At 38.6% G+C, this 21,192-nt stretch overlaps 1 long non-coding RNA gene across 1 annotated transcript, besides 1 other annotated feature; it reads left to right on the top strand.

Annotated features, from left to right (window-relative positions):
* The first annotated feature begins 193 nt into the window (after positions 1–193).
* On the top strand, positions 194–20,332 carry LOC124903133 (uncharacterized). Its single transcript, XR_007063717.1, has 3 exons — positions 194–233; positions 11,985–12,165; positions 18,485–20,332. It is a non-coding gene; the product is annotated as an uncharacterized LOC124903133 (long non-coding RNA).
* Positions 17,849–18,143: a silencer, noted in NCBI's record as "tiled region #3351; K562 Repressive non-DNase unmatched - State 24:Quies". NCBI's record gives its function as "represses a minimal TATA promoter and a strong SV40 promoter by Sharpr-MPRA in K562 cells {active_cell/tissue: K562}" and the evidence as "EXISTENCE:reporter gene assay evidence [ECO:0000049][PMID:27701403]".
* Positions 20,333–21,192: the final 860 nt, after the last annotated feature.

Here is a 21,192-nt window from a genome sequence, read left to right as displayed (position 1 = left end):
TATCAGTAGATTTCAGGGGAGAGGAAAAGACCATTTTAATTCTTTTGCAAGACTATTGATTAGTAACAGATGTTGCTCTTCTGATTGAATTATTTTTGATTCATTTTTTCAAATAAAAATATGTATCTGTCAAAGTATTTTAAATCATCTAGAGATAGAGGTTATTTAAACAAGATTCCTTTATTTCTGTTTTCAGGGAGAGTCTCTACCTTCAAGTTCTCCGGGTTATATGGGTACGTAATTTAGAGTGACATATGCTTGAATATATAGTAGTGCCAGCTTTATGGGTGGGGGTGTCCCTAGTGGAAAGAGGAAGCTGATGGGTCTATTCTGGTATTAAGGGCCTTTGAAGAGCAGGATGAGCCTTGTGAAGAATGTTGTGTAATGGAGTCTTCGACAAAAAGTCTCCTTCCTAGACTTAATGAAGAATTCAGAAGTTCAATCAGCAGGCCTTCCAGAGTGTAAATGTTCTTCTCACAGCAATAAATCTTTCTGAGAAAAAGTCTCTTTACACTTAGTTTATCTCTAGCTGCCTAATGCTCTACTCTACTTGAATAGGAGAGCTAACCTCAAAAGAGGAAGATGGGGAGTCTAATTTTGAAATAAGAAGCTAGATTTCCAGGAATGTGTCCCAAGAATCTTCCAGTGGATTTGGATTTCATCTCCAAAAGAATTAACAAGCAGTTTTCCTCTCGTTTTCAGAATTTAGGTAATCCATTCTCTATACACTCCCAAATTTCAGCATACAGGGAAGGTGAGTAGAGGAAAAAAACCTAGAAGATGAGCATCAAATTCCAAATAAGGAATTTGAAAATAATAATAATAAATTAAAACTAAAAATACCTTTTCTTTGACTCTATGACAAAGACTAGAAAGTGGTAACTCATTGGAAAGTTGGGACCCTCTTTGAATTTCACAAAGAAACTAAGTAATACAAATATAAAAATGATGACATATTAGATAAAATTGGAATCCCTGGCTTCTCTTAAGAAATAAAATATGACACCTTGACTCTGGTCCAATATTCCCACCTGGCACCATTTCTGAGGGCCCGGTAGATATCCATCCTCAGATAGAGCTGTGTCCTCCTCCTCTTTGCCATTCTCGCTCCACATTTTCTCCTTAAACTCAGCTTCCCTTTTGTAAATTACACCCCTATGCCTTCTGGACAGTGGAGTTAAATCCACCTATTTGAAGGCAAAATCCCCATTGAGTTTATTCAAAACTAAGCTACTTGGCCTTTAAACTTTGAATTTCTAATTCAGAACCTAGGTATACTATTTAGATTTACCCCCAAATCTGAGTTTTTCTTTTCTTTTCTTTTTTTTTTTTTTGAGAGGGAGTCTTGCTGTTTTGCCCAAGCTAGAGGGCAATGTCGCCATCTCTGTTCACTGCAACCTCCACCTCCCAGACTCAAGGGATTCTCCTGCCTCAGCTTCCTGAGTAGCTGGGATTACAGGCACCCACCACCACACCTGGCTAATTTTTGTATTTTTAGTAGAGACAAGGTTTCACCATGTTGGTCAGGCTGGTCTCGAATTTCTGACCTAAAATGATCCGCCTGCCTCGGCCTCCCAAAGTGCTTGGATTACAGGCATGAGCCACCATGCCTGGCCTTCTGAGTTTTCGAATAGCGGTCTTGGTGGCCTGGAATTGACAGGTGTATGTGTTGTTGGGGGAAGGATGCTGTTGACAATAGGGCAGGGTCCTCTGCAGTCCCTGGATTCAATATTGCAGCAACTCTGCTTAGAAAATGAGTGATATAATCCATGAAAATATAATCACATTTTAATAAAAAGTGAACTTTTACAATTTATTACTCTATGGATTTCTATTATGTCTCACTGTGAGCAAGTGTAGAAAAGTTGATTTGGGGAAAAGAAAATGAATGAATAGACAGGCGGAGATTTCCTGACTTCTAGTCTGCATTTTCCATTAATAAGACAAATTGGCTCCAAAATAGTACCCATAAACTTTTAAAATGAAATTGAGAAAATGCGTCAAGTGAAAATGCAGCATTGAAACTGGAAAAAAGAGGCAACTAAACACCTATGCCCAGGAATGCCCTCGAAGAGCCACCCCTCCTGGGCTTCTGTGGCCCTCTCTGAGGCTGGCTCATGACTCTTTCTTGAGAGGCCTCCGGTAGTTCTCTCTAGGATGATTGGCTGACACTTTTCCTATTTAAAAGTAATAATTTAGTAGAGATGAGATAATGACTCATTTCTTAAGGGCCACATCAGGTAGGAAAACAGAAAATACCATATGTAAGATGTATAAGTCTATATAAATTGCTTGAGCTGGTGAATGAGCTAGGTAAGCAAATAGGAGTTTTCAAGTTGACTCATACAAGCCCAAAGCTGTTGCTGTAATCAAAACATGCAATAGAGGGCAACTGTGTCTGGCATAATGGAGAAACCTAGCAATATAGATGGTACACAAAATCTAACATAGATAAGGACAGTGACTGATTGCATTTCCCATCTACAGGTCAGATCAAACACTCCAGAGAGCCAAAGATTTATCTTGTGCAGAAAAATGTAAGGTGAATTGCCAACTTGGACAGGTTTTTGTGGATCCATGGAGGCTTGGCATTGATTCTCTGTTGACTATAATCAGACTCCTGGTGCATTTCAGGCATTTGTGGTTCTCCCCAGTCATACTGATCCAAGTCTGGCTGAAGATAATTGGACATCGGCCTTCAATACAGTGCACATAGTGCAGACTGACAGGCTGGAAATGGTCCTTATGGTCACTCTTTTTGTAGTTAACAGTGCTGACAAATGTAACATTTCTCCCCTTCTCAAACACATTCATATGATAGCATCTCCAGGTATTCAACTCTTTCTTTGGATTCTGTCCTGAAGCAAGAATAGTGTTGGTTTGAATGTCTGGGATTTTAAGAATGTTAAAATGATCACCACTATAGGTTGAATAGCAACATCCAAGAAATGTCTCCAAGCAGAGCTAAGACAAAGCTAACTCTCAGTGGCCTTGAAATTTAATACAAGGGAAGAAAATCCTTCCCAAGTGTGATGTGAGACAAATACCATAACATTGGGACTGCAGGTAAGTGTTTCAAAAACTCTCAATGAGTTTTCAAGAGGAAAAGGATAGAAAACATAGAGAGAGGGCAGCATGGATTATGAACATAAACAAGCATAAGGGACATAAAATCAAAGCCTTGGTCAGTTCAACCTCAAGTTCACAGAAACCGGGGCCGGATGAAGGCTCCAGGCCATCTGAGATGATGAGGAAACTTTAAGATACATTTGCCTCAAAAACAGAGTTCCTTAAAAATACTCTTTGAGGGGCATGATTCAGAGATTTGACAGCTGGTTGTAGAGATGAGACATGGGTTTCAGTTCCTGTGTTTTGGAAGAAAGAAATGACAGGAAGAGAAAGAGTGGAGTGGTGATATATTTAAAACCCAAACTTACAGAGTGTGTGCTAGGAAAGACTCTCATATTCTCAGAGTGACAGACTCCTCAGAAGAGTGGAGATCAAAGAAAATCTCTGTTCTCTGCTCTCAGATGGAAGATATCTCATTTAGTTATGGCATGTTCAAGACCAATCAACAATAAAAATTGTTTTAAAACTAATTCAAAACTTAAAATGACTTATAAAAATATGCTACAGTGGCAAGAGACCTCGTTTGGATCACAGGATATGACCACAGCCCTGGCCAAGACTGTACTTGATGTGTGTGTGTGGCTTTGTGCACGCAACTTTGCCTGTTGAGCTTCAGTCTCTTAACTGAACAGTTACATCTGCCTTAAAAGACAGCTAAGGTCAGATAAAGGAACCATGTGTGAATATAAGTTCTGAAGTTCTAAGCAAATGGAAAGTACTATCATAATAATTTGTAATTATTACATCATATATCAGAAAAAATTACCCTTTTCTTTGATGTCACTTCTGCTCAATTAAAGAGACAGGAGACGACACACTCTGGTGTAAGCAGAAAAGGCAGGATGAATGAGCGCCTAAGGTTGCTGTATTAGATCGTTCTCACATTGCTATAAAGAAATACCAGAGACTGACTAATTTATAAAGAAAAGAGGTTTAATTGGCTCATGGTTCTGCAGGCTTTATGGGAACCATGATGCTGGCATCTGCTGAGCTTCTGGGGAGGCCTCAGGAAGTTTACAATCATGGCAGAACGCAAAGGGGGAGAAGGCATGCCACATGGCCAGAGCAGGGGCAAGAGTGAGAGAGAGAGAGAGAGAGGATAGGGGGAGGTGCCACGTACTTTTAAACACTGAGATCTCACGAGAACTCACCCACTGTCTCCACTATCGCGAGGACAGCACCAAGAAGATGGTGCTAAACCATTCATGAGAAACTCACTCCATGATTCAATCACCTCCCATGGGGCCCCACCTCCAATACTGGGTATTACAATTCAACATGAGATTTGGAGGGGACATCCAAACCTGATCAGGTGCCCTGCCTCCTCACTAACTCAACCCCCCTTTTCCTTTTACTGTCACTAGTTGGTTTCTTTGGGCCATTCTCTTTAGTAAAAGGGAATTGAAGATCACACCAGGAAGAGACTGTAGTAACTGGAACTAAGTGAACACATAATATGTAAAGTAAAGCAAAGGAGATATTTCAGACAGAATTTGTTAGGACCTAATGTGGAAAAGCTGAAGTAGGACAAGAGCCTCTCTAAGATGGCATATATATGGCTTACTTACTAAACTCTATCTTTAATTCCCGAAGTGCTCCATTAGAAGTCCTGGATTAAAAAAAAAAAGAGGCCGGGCGCGGTGGCTCACGCCTGTAATCCCAGCACTTTGGGAGGCCGAGGCGGGCGGATCACGAGGTCAGGAGATCGAGACCATCCCGGCTAAAACGGTGAAACCCCGTCTCTACTAAAAATACAAAAAATTAGCCGGGCGTAGTGGCGGACGCCTGTAGTCCCAGCTACTTGGGAGGCTGAGGCAGGAGAATGGCGTGAACCCGGGAGGCGGAGCTTGCAGTGAGCCGAGATCCCGCCACTGCACTCCAGCCTGGGCGACAGAGCGAGACTCCATCTCAAAAAAAAAAAAAAAAAAAAAAAAAGAAATAGCTCACTAGCCCTGAACATTATGCATGGTATTGTATTAGGTAATTCCTCAAAATTAAAGATTAAATTCCAACTTACTTTTCAAAGAATAATTATACCTCTGTCATATTGATTGGTTTACATGATTGTCAAGTGTAATATGTCATTTAAGTTAATTAAATATCCATTTCTACTTCATCATGCATTTTTATCAATTAAAGGCATTGTACTTTAATCTCCACAAATACACAACTGTTGGATTCCATAACAAGGTTCAGTTATGATTTTCATGTATGACTTGCATTTCAGTCTTCCTTACTAAATTGAGAGTACTCCAAAAGAAAAAAAAAATTTGTATTTCCAAAATCCAAGATGTTAGCTAAAATAATGTAATACTTAATGAATATTTGATAAATGAATGAATGACTCACTGAACAAATCCACCTTCTGTAATCAAACTTAATGTCTTACTATGATTGTCCATATAGAAGAAAACACCTTAAGTTTCTAAATGCAAAATTTCATATAGTTTTATGCCTTCACAAGTATTGTTTTCAAATAAGGTTTTTAAAACTTTTATTAATCTTTTACCTGTAATTAGGATTTCTCAACTGGGAAGTCATGATGAGGAGCAGGATAATAATTTTTTTTTCGAGATCACATCCTACTTTTTAGAATCACTGAAAGAGGAAGCCACTCTTATAAATGGCAGTTTGTAGTACCTAAGTACCGAGAACTTGAAGTACTCAAGCGTCTTCAAGGGGAAGAAAGATTGACAACAAATGTTTTAATAGAAATCAAGCTGTAAATGTTGTAGACGTGGTATAGTTATGCTTAACATCTTAACGTTGTAACCGCACACTAAGATCTATCATTACCTAATGGGTTCATAAGGTCTCTTTCTTGGAAGAAAAAAAAAGAGGAAATATGTAGATCTTCTTGTTAATGTGTTTGCTTTTTAATTTTGAAATAATTGTCAATTTGTATGGACTTGACAACAGTAGTATGATATCAAAACCAGGAAATTGGCATTGATACAATCCACAGATAGTATTCAGATATTACCATTCATAAATGCACCCAAATGTGTGTGTGTGTGGTTCCATTTACTTTAATGGCACGTGTAGATTTGTGTAAATACTACCACAGTCAAGATAAGGAACTTTTCCATTACTACTAAGTTCCCCAGTGCTACCCTCTTTATTTTCAGCCCGTATCTCTACCTGGAACCACTAATCTGTTTTCTGTATCTGTAGTTTTGTCATTTAAATAATTTTATATAAATGCAATCATGCAATATGTATCCTTTTGCAATTTGCATTTTTTACTCAGTTTAAACTTCTTTGAAATCCATCCAAATTGTTATGTGTACCAAGTTTATTTATTTTTATTGCTAAGTAGTTTGGACCACAGTTGTTTAGCTAGTCATGTTAATTAAAGACATTTGTTTGTTGGTTTGTGTTTTAGATTTTGGCTATTAGAAATATAGCTACTGTAGGCCGGGTGCAGTGGCTCACGCCTGTAATCCCAGCACTTTGGAAGGCCGAGGCGGGTGGATCACAAGGTCAGGAGATGGAGACCATCCTGGCTAACATGGAGAAACCCCGTCTCTACTAAAATACAAAAAAAATTAGCCGGGCGTGGTGGCGGGCGCCTGTAGTTCCAGCTACACGGGAGGCTGAGGCAGGAGACTGGCGTGAACCTGGGAGGCAGAGCTTGCAGTGAGCCGAGATCGCGCCACTGCACTCCAGCCTGGGCGACAGAGCGAGACTCCGTCTCAACAAAAAAAAAAAAAAAAAAAAAAGAAATACAGCTACTCTAAAACAAGAAAATTCTGAACTATTATCTAGAGAAGCTGTACCATTTCACTTTCCCACCAGCGATGTATAAGAGATCAAGTTCTTCATATCTTTCCCGGCATTTGTTGCTATCACTATTTTTAATTTTAGCCATTTTGATAGGTAACTGATAGGTGTAGTGGTGTCTGATTGTGGTTTTGGATTGCATTTCCCTAATGGCTAATGATGTCAAATATCTTTTGATTTGCTTACTTGCCATCTGTATATTATCTTTGGTAAAACTTCTCTTCATGTCTTTCATCCATTTCTACTTGGGCTGTTTGTTTAATGTTGAGTTTTGAGAACTCTTTACATATTTTAGGGGTAAGTTCTTTGTCATCTCTATGGTTTACAAATATTTTCTCCTAATCTGTAGTTTATATTTTGTCTTAACGAGGTCTTTCATCGAACAAAAGTTTTTAGTTTGGTAGAACTTCAATTTATCATTTTTTGCCTTTTATGTACATGCTTGAGATCACTGGGTATTTTTCAGTTGGAAACAATCACAGTTTTTCACACTGGCAAAACTACAGATGTTACAGACTTTAATTTTCACTTTGCCCTTCTTCCAGTAAAAATGAAACATGTAGAAATTATGATTGCATGCAGCACTATGGTTTTTGTTATTTGGTTAAATGGGAAATGGGTCTGGTTTCTGGTTTTAGAGAGAAGATCAAAAGCTAAAGAAATGTGACATATGAAGGCTGTACAGGATCTGTGGGAAGAAATCTTCCACAGCTCTGTATTCATTCTGGAAAGATTTTGATTCTAGATTAAAAGGTTTATAGTGAGCTAATCATATTTAAAGCAAAAAATATGAAAACTAGAATTGTACTAAGTAGTGATTAATGATTCATGAGAAGTCTAAATTATTTCATTGTACCAGTACATGCATTTTTCTTTCTTTCTTTTTTTTATTATACTTTAAGTTCTAGGGTACATGTGCACAACGTGCAGGTTTGTTACATATGTATACATGTGCCATGTTGGTGTGCTGCACCCATTAACTCGTCATTTACATTAGGTATATCTCTTAATGCTATCCCTCCCCCTCCCCCCACCCCCCGACAGGCCCCGGTGTGTGACGTTCCCCTTCCTGTGTCCAAGTGTTCTCATTGTTCAATTCCCAGCTATGAGTGAGAACATGCAGTGTTTGGTTTTTTGTCCTTGCGATAGTTTGCTGAGAATGATGGTTTCAAGCTTCATCCATGTCCCTACGAAGGACATGAACTCATCCTTTTTTATGGCTGCATAGTATTCCATGGTATATATGTGCCACATTTTCTTAATCCAGTCTATCATTGATGGACATCTGGGTTGGTTCCAAGTCTTTGCTGTTGTGAATAGTGCCGCAATAAACATATGTGTGCATGTGTCTTTATAGCAGTATGACTTATAATCCTTTGGGTATATACCCAGTAATGGGATGGCTGGGTCAAATGGTATTTCTAGTTCTAGATCCCTGAGGAATCGCCACACTGTCTTCCACAATGGTTGAACTAGTTTACAGTCCCACCAACAGTGTAAAAGTGTTCCTATTTCTCCACATCCTCTCCAGCACCTGTTGTTTCCTGAGGTTATAATGATTGCCATTCTAACTAGTGGGAGATGGTATCTCATTGTGGTTTTGATTTGCATTTCTCTGATGACCGGTGATGATGAGCATTTTTCCATTTGTCTGTTGGCTGCATAAATGTCTTCTTCTTTTGAGAAGTGTCTTTTCATATCCTTCACCCACTTTTTGATGGGGTTGTTTGTTTTTTTCTTGTAAATTTGTTTGAGTTCTTTGTAGGTTCTGGATATTAGCCCTTTGTCAGATGAGTAGATTGCAAAAATTTTATCCCATTCTGTAGGTTGCCTGTTCACTCTGATGGTAGTTTCTTTTGCTGTGCAGAAGCTCTTCAGTTTCATTAGATCCCATTTGTCAATTTTGGCTTTTGTTGCCATTGCTTTTGGTGTTCTAGACATGAAGTCCTTGCCCATGCCTATGTCCTGAATGGTATTGCCTAGGTTTTCTTCCAGGGTTTTTATGATTTTAGGTCTAACATTTAAGTCTTTGATCTATCTTGAATTAATTTTTGTATAAAGTGTAAGGAAGGGATCCAGTTTCAGCTTTTTACATATGGCTAGCCAGTTTTCCCAGCACCATTTATTAAATACGGAATATTTTCCCCATTTATTGTTTTTGTCAGGTTTGTCAAAGATCAGATGGTTGTAGATGTGTGGTATTATTTCTGAGGGCTCTGTTCTGTTCCATTGGTCTATATCTCTGTTTTGGAATGAGTACCATGCTGTTTTGGGTACTGTAGCCTTGTAGTATAGTTTGAAGTCAGGTAGCATGATGCCTCCAGCTTTGTTCTTTTGGCTTAGGATTGACTTGGCAATGCAGGCTATTTTTTGGTTCCATATGAACTTTAAAGTAGTTTTTTCCAATTCTGTGAAGAAAGTCATTGGTAGCTTGATGGGGATGGCATTGAATCTGTAAATTACCTTGGGCAGTATGGCCATTTTCACGATATTGATTCACATCACAATTAAAAGAGCTAGAAAAGCAAGAGCAAACACATTCAAAAGCTAGCAGAAGGCAAGAAATAACTAAGATCAGAGCAGAACTGAAGGAGATAGAGACACAAAAAAACCCTTCAAAAAATCAATGAATCCAGGTGCTGGTTTTTTGAAAAGATCAACAAAATTGATAGACCACTAGCAAGACTAATGAAGAAAAGAGAGAAGAATCATATAGATGCAATAAAAAATGATAAAGGGGATATCACCACCGATCCCACAGAGATACAAACTACCATCAGAGAATACTATAAACACCTCTACACAAATAAACTAAAAAATCTAGAAGAAATGGATAAATTCCTTGACACTTGTACCCTCCCAAGACTAGACCAGGAAGAAGTTGAATCCCTGAATAGACCAATAACAGGCTCTGAAATTGAGGCAATAATTAATAGCCTACCAACCAAAAAAGTCCAGGGCAGACGGATTCACAACCGAATTCTACCATAGGTACAAGGAGGAGCTGGTACCATTCCTTCTGAAACTATTCCAATCAATAGAAAAAGAGGGAATCCTCCCTAACTCATTTTATGAGGCCAGCATCATGGTGATACCAAAGCCTGGCAGAGATACAACAAAAAAAGAGAATTTTAGACCAATATCCTTGACGAACATCGATGCAAAAATTCTCAATAAAATACTGGCAAACCGAATCCAGCGGCACATCAAAAAGCTTATCTACTATGATCAAGTGGCCTTCATCCCTGGGATGCAAGGCTGGTTCAACATATGCAAATCATTAAACATAATCCAGCATATAAACAGAACCAAAGACAAAAACCACATGATTATCTCAATAGATGCAGAAAAGGCCTTTGACGAAATTCAACAGTCCTTCATGCTAAAAACTCTCAATAAATTAGGTATTGATGGGACGTATCTCAAAATAATAAGAGCTATTTATGACAAACCCACAGCCAATATCACACTGAATAGGCAAAAACTGGAAGCATTCTCTTTGAAAACTGGCACAAGACAGGGATGCCCTCTCTCACCACTCCTATTCAACATGGTGTTGGAAGTTCTGGCCAGGGCAATCAGGCAGGAGAAAGAAATAAAGGGTATTCAATTAGGAAAAGAAGAAGTCAAATTGTCCCTGTTTGCAGATGACATGATTGTATATTTAGAAAACCCCATCGTGTCAGCATTTTTCTTTAATTCTTGCACAAATTTTCACCAGTATTAATATAGTAAGAAAATGTCGTAACATTTGCTTTACTGTTTTCTTTTCATGTAAATTTAATATTGCTTAAATGATGATACAAAGAAAAATAACAGTGCATTATTGGTTAACCACGCATGGCTGTTTAGACTATGCATCCTGGTCATGGGTAGCCCCTGTGAGAAAACAGAAACTCACCTGAAATCCAAAGTAAACATCACTACTTACTTCAGGACTTTTCTCATTATTTTAAAAATATAAACATTAATCTCAACCTGCTGTAACATGTTCACTAAATAAGAAAAATAAACCAACTTTTACCTTTAGCATCCATCTGTTTCTAACATGAAGACAGTTTCATTTAGCAGGAAGTTTAACTCTGGCATAATTAATATTCTACAATTACTAGAAATTTCCAGGTAATCTAAAGTCATTTGGAGACCTTGGCTAAATTCAATATCATAGAAATATACTTACAAAACATAACATTAAAATGAAATCTTATGATGAAATAGTAATCTGATTTATCAGTTCTCTATGAAATGATTGTTTTATATCAATTCTATATTCTGTATCTTCTATTCACATAAAAAAGCATTAAACATTTTTATTTTGTCTATCTATGTGATTTCCTATAATTAACCTATGTGCTTATGTATTAGTGCCACTTGACAGTACATTCGTACATAGTATTGCAGTATTTAAGTACTAAAAAATATTATATTGTATTTTTCATACATATACTTAAGTATATAATACTAAAAATGAAGTGCTTTCAGTTGTCGTTATTGTTTTTGTTGTCGTTGTTGTTTTTTTTTTTTGAGATGGAGTCTCGCTCTGCCGCCCAGGTTGGAGTGCAGTGGCAGGATCTCGGCTTACTGCAAGCTCCACCTCCTGGGTTCACGCCATTCTCCTGCCTCAGCCTCCCGAGTAGCTGGGACTACAGGTGCCCACCACCACACCCGGCTAATTTTTTGTATTTTTAGTAGAGATGGGGTTTCACCATGTTAGCCAGGATGATCTCGATCTCCTGACCTCGTGAACTGCCCGCCTCGGCCTCCCAAAGTGCTGGGATTACAGGCGTGAGCCACTGCCCCCGGCCTATTTTTGTTTGTTATTTGTTATCTCAACTGTGATAATTCTTAATTATCATTATAATTATCTTGTAATAAAGAAAGGTCTTTGAACACTTCATCAAAATTGTATTGGTAACATTTGAACAGTGAGAATAAACTTTCTTGAGGAACTTATCCACTTGTATGGTTTCTACTGTACTTGTTTCTAAAATTATAATTGCACTTACTATTGTTTTCTTGCTAAAAACTAACATGTTTGGTTTACTCATTTACTGGCCATATTTTATCGACAGCCTTTTCAAACCTGAAATTTAGAGTGACAAGTCACAGAAGAAACAAAGGCCACTGTAGAGACAAATAAGAAGACGTGTGAGTGTTTCAGAGAGAGATTTCACAGTGAATACAGATGCATGGCTAATTCATCAAGGAAGGTATCCTATGTCAGAAAGATACAGAAGCTCCAGCTGGGCTCAGGTAGGTTTTTCAAGATGGCAAATCCTTAGAGTCTACCAATATGAGCTGTGTTGACTGATGGGGGGTGGCTGGGGACTAAAGTAATTTCCTTCTAAACCTTATTATTTGAGATAAATTTATATAATCAATTTTTAAAAGACAACAACCACAAAAACAACCTACAGAGATAAATTAGAAAATATTTTCTTGCTGTCATTGTGTTTATTAAACACATTGAATGCCTATCATGCGCAGCCACAGTGCTCTGTCCCTGCTACCCTGTGCATTGCACACGAACACATAAACTTTTGGAGCCCAGCTTATCAGCATAGCATCCTGTGATTTTATTAAATTTATTTTATTTTTAAACTTTAATCACCATCCTCCTCATCATTATCATAGCAGGCATTGGGTACTTTGTGCATACCCAGGCACTGTACTAAGGGCATAATATGCATTGTATCATTGAGTCCTCAAACAATATGAAGTATGTTCAAGTGGTAATCTGAGTTTATAGAGAGGAAATTGACGTCGCCTATAGCCACACACTTGTAGGAATAGATCCAGGACCCAATCTCAGGTTTGTATGCATCCAAACTCAGGTGTCTTAACCACTGTGTCCTTCAGATTTATCATTTGCTATGTATGAAGTGTCATTAACAATGAGGCGAAATCATTTAAAAATGTATTCAAATGCTGCTGGCTCTACACTCAGCTTTTCTTGCTTGTTATCTATCTATCTATCTATCTATCTATCTATCTATCTATCTATCCTATCTATCATCTATCTATCTATCTATCTATCTATCTATCTATCTATCTATCTATCTATCTATGTATCTATCTATTTTTAGAGACAGGGTCTTGCTCTGTTGCCCAGGCTGGAGTACGGTTGCAAGATCACAGCTCACTGCAGCCTCAAACTCCTGGACTCAAGCAATCCTCCTACATCAGTGCCAAGAGTAGCTGGGTCCATAGGCACAGGTCATCATGCCTGGCTAACATATTTTTAATTTATTTGTAGAGACAGAATCTTACTATCTTACCCAGGCTGGTCTTGAACTCCTGGGCTCAAGAGATTCACCCTCTTCAGCCTCCCAAAGTGCTGGGATTACAGGTGTGAGCCACTGTGCCCTGCTTTTTCTTGCCTGTATAGACACCTATTCTTTTACCTATAGACTTTCTGTGGGAGCTATTCTGAAATGGAATGTGAATGTCTCCTGCCTCCTCCTACCTTCCTTTCCTTTAAGACCAGTGATTCTAAGGCCAGATGGACTTTCAGCACTGGGCTGAACACTTGTATTTCCTCAGAAGATTTTTGCAATTGAGTGTTTAATGCTAACCCAACATAATCTCCATCAAAACTGAGATGGGGAAAGTATTTTCGTAGAATGTAAAGTGTTGTTAGCTTATTGCTGACTGCAGGCTGTAAAATATTGTTTTATCTCATTTTTTTCCAATATGAAAGTTCAGACAGTGACAACCTAACATAACAGGCCCTGACTTGACTCTGTTCACAAAGCAGGTCTCCTTAAATATAGAGACATTCTATACCACTTTAGCTCTCATTGTGATAATTATTATCATTTTAAAAGTCAAAGGAATTCCAAGCACAGAACCGGAATTAAAAAAAAACCATCTCCTCTTACCATCAAATTAAAAAATAAAGCACAACCTAAACTGTACACAAAATAAAAATAAAAGGTGGAAGAGATTCTAAATTCAAAAGAATTTCTTTTTTAATAGGACTCAGTGCTAGTTGGAAGACAATTAAAGCAAGATTCTACAACCACATTCAATAGGAGCTCTCTAAGAAGGTGATGGCTGATAGAACTTCCTACATTGACGGCTTGTTCTGTGCTGCCCAATATGACAGTCACTGGCCTCGAGTGGCTATTGAGCACTTGACTGTGGGTAATGCAACTGAGGAGCCGAATGTTTAATTGTATTTAATTTTTATTAACTTTAATTTTAAATGGTCACGCGTTTACTGGCTACTGTATTGGACAGCACAACTGTAAAGTATAAACGTTTAGCTAATGAAAGCCACTGGAAGCTTTATTTACCATGCCTGTACTATCCAAAGTTAAATGCATTTCCCCTCCTAGGTGCTCCTTGTGTAACTACTCAAGATAGCAGGAGCTGAGGATCGACCGCCCTTTATCTGAATTCTGACAGACGCCAGGTCAAAACTGATCAGCAAAGGAACAGGGGCGTTACCTCTAAAATGTAATTAAGCCACTGTGCATGGGGCCCTGTGCCTTCCAGAATCCCGCAGGACAACTGGAATGAGATTTTGTGTTGAAAAGGGCCCATCATGTTTGAGAATAGTCTGAAAGGTAAAGATCTCTGAAATAAAGAAAATAAATTGCCCAGATCTCGGGGGACCAAACTGGGCATTTCACCTCCAGATAGATCAAGGAGAGCCCAGTGAAGCAGGAAATGCCAGTGTGATGTTGCTGTGTTCTTGTCCTCATCAACCCACCACCAGCAATACTCTGAGGCAGAGGCTGAGAATGTGAGGAGCTGGCGCTGACAAAAAGTGTAGTAAAAGGCAGTGTTAGGGTGGAAGCGTCTCCCAGTTTTCTTGATTCTAAAGATGAACCCAAAGGGGTGCTATGGAGAACATGGTAGCTCTCAGCGCTCTGCCTGGCCTCCATCCATCCTCGCTACCACAACTCCTAATTTCTCTCTCACATTCTTACACACTCACACAGCGTTTGGGCTGGTCATTGGCCCTGGCCTCACAGTGTGCACCCTCCATCACCCCACTTCTGCACTGTCCTATGGCAACAGCAGTCAGTACTGTAAAGGTGAGTGGATTCCTTCCCTCTCCAAACTCTAATGCCTTGGACAGACCGTCGGGCCCTGGAATAAAAGAGCACAAACTCCTTACTGGGGCCCTAGCCTGGCCTCTCAGATGATCCAGGAGATAACTCGGGGCATTTTAAATGTCTTCAGCACCAAATGATTACCTCCTCTTGCTTTTCAGAGTGTATGTCTAATCATTTGCTGAGGGTTTCTGCCCTCTTTTTCCTTTATAAAGGACCATAAACATACTCTCTCAATCATGTGGAGTAGAAGGAGCACAATTGGTTGTCTTTGAGTGAAAAGTGACATGAAACAGAATGGTGCTGAAGGGCTTAGAAGCTTGTTGCAATAGTTCAGGGCAGGTGGTGCAGCCTAAATAGGCACACAGGGCTGACAGCAGAAAGGAGAGAAGCATTTCTGGGCTGCTGTGGTCTGAATGTTTGTGTCCCCCCAAAATTCATATGTTGAAATCCTCACCCCCAGGGTGATGGGATTAGGAAGAGTGGGCTTTGGGGAGTCCTTAGGTCAGGAGGGAGGATCCTTCACGAATGGGATTAGCACCTTTTAAAACAGGCCTCAGGGAGTTTATTTACCCCTTCCACCAAGTGAGGACACAGACAGCAGGCACCATCTTTGAAACAGAAAGCGGCCCTGGCCAGGTACCGAATCTGACAGCACTTGGATCTCGAACTTCTCGGTCCCCAGAACTGTGAGAAATAAATCTCTGTTGTTCACTCTATGGTATTTTGTTATAGCAACCCAAAAGGACTAAAACCTGTGTGTAAAAAGCACTTCTTCCAGAAAGGCTTCCCTGAAGATCCCTGCTCCCTGAGACGGCCCTCATCTCCACGCTCTGCCACAGGAGCCTGAGAGGACCTGATTACAACACACCATGATGTGTTCCTGGGTCTGTTTCTGCATTCTGCCCAACAGCCTCACAGCAGCAGCCATACTTTACATGTCTCTGTTTCTCTTGTGCTTAGCATGGTGACAGACACATTTGGCTGGGAAATAATGAACTAGAGCTTGTAAGTTTATTCAAATTATCGTATACCACATTATTTTCTTTCTTCTGCTCTAATTCCTCTACTTTAACACCAGTTTTCTTACTGATAAACTAAATGAACACTAGCAGTAAAGATTGGCTGAACGTTTGGAGGGTTAAATGCCATACTTAGACTGTTCTGGGAATTGTTCTGAGCTATCACCGGAGTGAGTTCAGTATATGTCCAAACAAGAAAGGAGAAAAGGAAGAACCAAATGACATCTTAAAATAAAACTAGGAAGGTACCAAACTTTTTGGATCCTGTCTTCAGTTTTATTCACCTCCTAGGCCTCTTCAAGGAATTTATTTAAAGTATATATAAGCAAACATAAAGCTAACTTAATTTTAGTTCTTTGAATAAGCAATGAAATTAAAATCCCTGCCAGAGATAAAGAATCAAGATGAGCTGAGTCGCTGTTTTGGCTTTGAAGCAGGGGAAGGCAGTTGTCTCCCCATGGACATCAGTGGATTTAAGAACTAAAGCTTGCACACCACTACCATGATCTCCAAAAGACCTTGCTTCCCACACGACCCAGAGCTGTGTCAGCCAGCAAAGGGCGGCAACCACAAATACAAAAATTAAAAACACAATGAAAAGAAGAAGAAAAAGGAAAATCATTAAACACAGAAACCATCTGTGTCTCTGCTCCATGCGGGCTTATTTTTCCAATACCTCACATACTTCAAATACTTCAGTACGACTCCTACGTTTGAGTAGAAGAAAAGAAAAATAACAAAATTCAATATTTTATTAAGCAGATTATCTATATTGACATGAAAAATTGGATACTCTTTTTGAAAGACAAATATATCTTATGTTTGTTTTTGGAAGCTTCTTGTGTCTGCCTCTTTGGCCAGAGGAGTGTCTTTCCCACATTATTCTTCTGAGCTGAGAGGGAACATGCATCCGCCCTCAGGTAGCCTAGTGGGGGTTCTTCCACGCTGTCTATGTCACGGGCTGTCCTAGTACATTTCAGCTGTGTTAACAAAATACCATAAAGCGAGGAGCTTATAAATAACGCAATGTACTTCTCACAGTTCTAAAGGCTGGAAAGGCAAGATCAAGGGAGATTCAGTGTCTGGTGAGGGCCTGGTTTCTGGCTCCCAGACCACATCTTCTTGCTGTGCTTTCACATAGCAGAAGGGGTGAGAGAGAGCTCCCCAAGCCTCCTTGATGAGGTTCCTAAAGCCATTTATAGGGGCTCCACCCTCATGACCTAATCACCTCCCAAAGACCCCACCCTGTAATCCTATTGCCTTGGGGGTTAGGATGTCAACACAGGAATTTTGAGGACACACAAACACTCAGATCTTAGCACAGGGTAAGACTGAAAAAAGGAAAAGAAATGAAGCAAAATTGCTAGTAGGCCTTTAAAAAAAAATTCTTTTACAGCACATATAAGTCATAGTGCTGACAAGGAATTTTAAATAGAGGCCAGGTATCTATTTTCCTCCTTAAAAGTAATCCTTGTCTCTGTAAATGCCTCATTTGTTGAGTGTACTTTTTAGATTTAAATAATCTTTAGTACAATTTTTCTCTTGATTGCAGGGTTTGAAGATGAGAAATTGAGCAGGTCGATGCAGGTGTAACTTAGCAGACAGACCATTATTTCCTTGTATAAACTCATGCCATCAACTCTTCAACCAGAATGTGGTTGCAGAGGCATTGAACAGATTTTATAATTATGAGTTTATTTCATGGGGTGTAAGGTTTTGTAAAACTTTCAAGAAACTCTTTTACACCCCTACTCTTCATTAAAATGAGTTTTTCTAGGAAATTTTATTTGAAAACATGTGTTTCTAAGTAGATGCTTGTACTGTGCAAACAATTATGACCTTCATTCAAAAGCAATCCTTGACCTTCTTGTACAATTACCAGACAAATAAAATAAGATAAACATTGCCAATGCAGTACAAACTTTCTGTTTATCTGGAAGCAAATGGAACTAAGAGACTGTGTGTTTAAAGTTTCGTTCTACACTTTTGGAAGCCCTGATCTTTGAAGTTGTTCTGTATTGCTTCCTTGGAAACCTTTAGTCCCTTGAGTGAACACAATATAGCTTCCTCTACACAGGAACCTTCCCAAAGAGCAGTGGTAGAAAAGTCTTACTGGATCTCCCAAAAGAGATTTCTTCCTCCTTACTCAAAAGAATTCAATATGCAATTCGACTCTGTATCACATAATATTTTACATGGGGATATAATGTTGATAACTAGAGATACTCGTATGCTTAAGCTGTGTGCTCTTATGATCTTCCTTCTTGGGATTAAAGGCAGTAGCTATTGCCATCACGTACCTACCACTGTTGGCTTTTCCGTGCATTTCTCTCAGGAGCTCTTCAAAACCTTGTATATAAGTGGGCCATTGTGTCTGTAGCTTCTAAGGACCCTTCTGGTTGCTCCTGTTCTTGAAGTTCCATTGCCATACCCATGGCTTTAGAGAGTGGCTTCCAAGTGTCCTAATGATTTTTCTTTTCTTTTTAGGAATAGTTTTCATGATTCAACTTATTGAAATAAACAAACAGAAAGCTAGTCGACAAAAACTTCCCATTCTGAAGGTACAGAGAGCATTTCTCCACTGCTGTTTGAGCAATTTTGCATCCTGCCATCCATCTCATGATGACTTCGAAGTCACCATTGCTGATTCTGGTATCAAAAAAAAAAAAAAAAAAAAAAGGAAAAACCTAAATGTGAAGAAAATCTATAGCTATTGAATTTGCACTTATATCATGTTAATGGAACATATTATTCAGCAAGCCTGTGTCCTCTGCATAAACATAGTTCTTTTTAGTTCACGTTCTGAGTACTTCTGCAAATACTGTATTTGAATGCTTAGTGTTTCTTAAACTACAAAATGTTTTACTCCCTTTGTTCTTTTTGTTCAACTCTTATATGCTAGCTGCTCAGAGTTAACCTAAACTATCCATGTATTCTGACCTGTAACTGTAAGAGACAAAGAAAAGAGTAGTGATTTCGGCTTCCCGGAATTTTAGATTTGTATTTAATTAGCTTTCTATAAAGAGTGCTGGTAACTAGGATTTGTTCTTCACTTGTAGATGTTACCCTTCTTTAGTAGCAATAGCTATTTAGCATTGTCATATGTAAAAGACATATCTTTTACATATGATGATCTAACATCATCAAGCATGTGGAAGGAGATAGCAAGTGGCAGATAGTTTGCAAGTACGAGTGCCATTGGTTGTGACAGGATGGTGGATTTTTTGCTAAGTTTAGAATCCCCTTAGGCGTATTGAGGTTCAAGTACCATTAACTCTTGGCAAAATTCTCCTTCCTAATTCAAAGAAGAAAGGATTACTAAAGCTCATAAAAAGGATTCTCAAATTTCAAATAGCTTTTAAAAAACATTTAATGAGTTAATACTAATTGAATCAGAAACATATGGATGAAATTTTTCTTGAAATTCATAAGGGTTTAATATTAAGGGAGAGGTAATTCAGCAAAACCACCTAAGACTAGTCAATCTCAATGTTTTAAGACCAACTTGTAACACCTGTGAATCTTCATCACCACTCACTTTTCTTTGTCCAAAGAGTTTTGTGGTTTGGGTAGTATTGTGTTGTCTATAATTCTACCAATGGATAATATATCAGTCAATGGAAGAATTCATTACAGCTGCTGCATATATCACAAGATTGATCTATTTATCTATATGCAATTTAACTATGTATTACCTTCTCTGGAACTGGTTTTTCAACCTGTTCAACCAATATGGACATTTTAAAACAAATCTAATCACATGCAGTTTCACAATATAGTCAGACGGGGAGCAGGAAAAATAGGGTCTTCAGTCCTATCTACAGTAGCTCTTAAGCTACTCCTTAAGCACCCCTGTAGAATTATGGAATACAATTTATACATCTTTGATCTAGAATCTAGTCAAGAATAAGGAAACATACAAAGTAAAGGGGAGGGGCTGATTTCTAAGAAGCTAAAATGAACATTACAGAGTCTGTGAAATTATTTAAAAATTCCTTCATCAGAACCTTTATGTCCTTACTTTATGAATAATTCTCACAAGCTTTGATATTTAGTCTCTATATCCACAGAAGATTGGCAGTAACAAATTGGGAGAAATACAATATTGGGAGAAATACAATATAGGAAGGATTGATGGAAGGAAACAGGAAAAGAAAGATCTAGACAATTTTTTAAATGTTTAGCAAGTCTCTCTTTTTAGCTTTGGGAGAAATAGCCGATTACCTTGTATATTTTCAGAATATCAGTGCCTCAAATGCAATATATTAAGTGGCATGCATAATTAAGACCTTAATATTTATGTTCATTAATACCCTAGAGCCATAGCAACTAGCGTTGCACCATTAGCTTTTATTCAAATGTACAAAGCCTTTGTTGTAGGCTCCCAAGAAACAGTAAGTATGCAATGGTACAACCTGTGCTATTCCTATCGGCCCCCTCTACCTCTTTTGTGCACATTTCTTCTAAAGCTTAGTTAATATAAAGTGGCTGGGAGGCCTAGTCAGTAGGGGCAGAAATACCTGGCTCTCTGTGGTTCTGTGAGGCTGTTGTAAGAGCCAGTACAGTTTTGGGACAGCATTCATTCCAATAACTAGGTAATCTGCAATCCATAGAACTCAATTACATCTCTGTTTTCAGACACAGTGAATTCTTTTTGGAAATGTGGTGGCAATGTGTTAGGCTCATTCCTGGCTGGAGTCAGATGCAAGAGTCAGAGTGACAGGAAATGTGAATACAGAAAGAAATACCAAATTCCCTTGGGAAATAAAAAAAAAAAGCAGGTATATTATCTCAGCACAGAATCAGGTCTAGGTGTAACCTTCAAAGATGTGTGGAAGTGACTAACAGTAACAACTTGGACTTGTACAGATTAAACCTCAGAATACCACAATACAGTCCATGCCTTGCTTCCTAACACCACAAGATAGGATTCTTGTTAGTGAAAAAAATTATAAAATGATATTTAGGATTCTTTTATTTAGATGTGTGGAAAAGAGATTCCCAGAGCCTAGATAATTTAAATAAAAATATTTTTTAGAGGCCAGACATGGTGGCTCACAACTGTAATCCCAGCACTTTGGGAGGCTGAGGTGGGCAGATCACGAGGTCAAGAGATCTAGACCATCCTGGCCAACATGGTGAAACCCCGTCTCTACTAATATTTTTACAAATACAAAATACAAAATATTAAAAAA

Source organism: Homo sapiens, chromosome 13, assembly GCF_000001405.40.
Source record: "Homo sapiens chromosome 13, GRCh38.p14 Primary Assembly".
In the NCBI taxonomy this organism is placed as follows: domain Eukaryota; kingdom Metazoa; phylum Chordata; class Mammalia; order Primates; family Hominidae; genus Homo; species Homo sapiens.
This window is presented reverse-complemented; position numbering and strand designations above follow the sequence as displayed.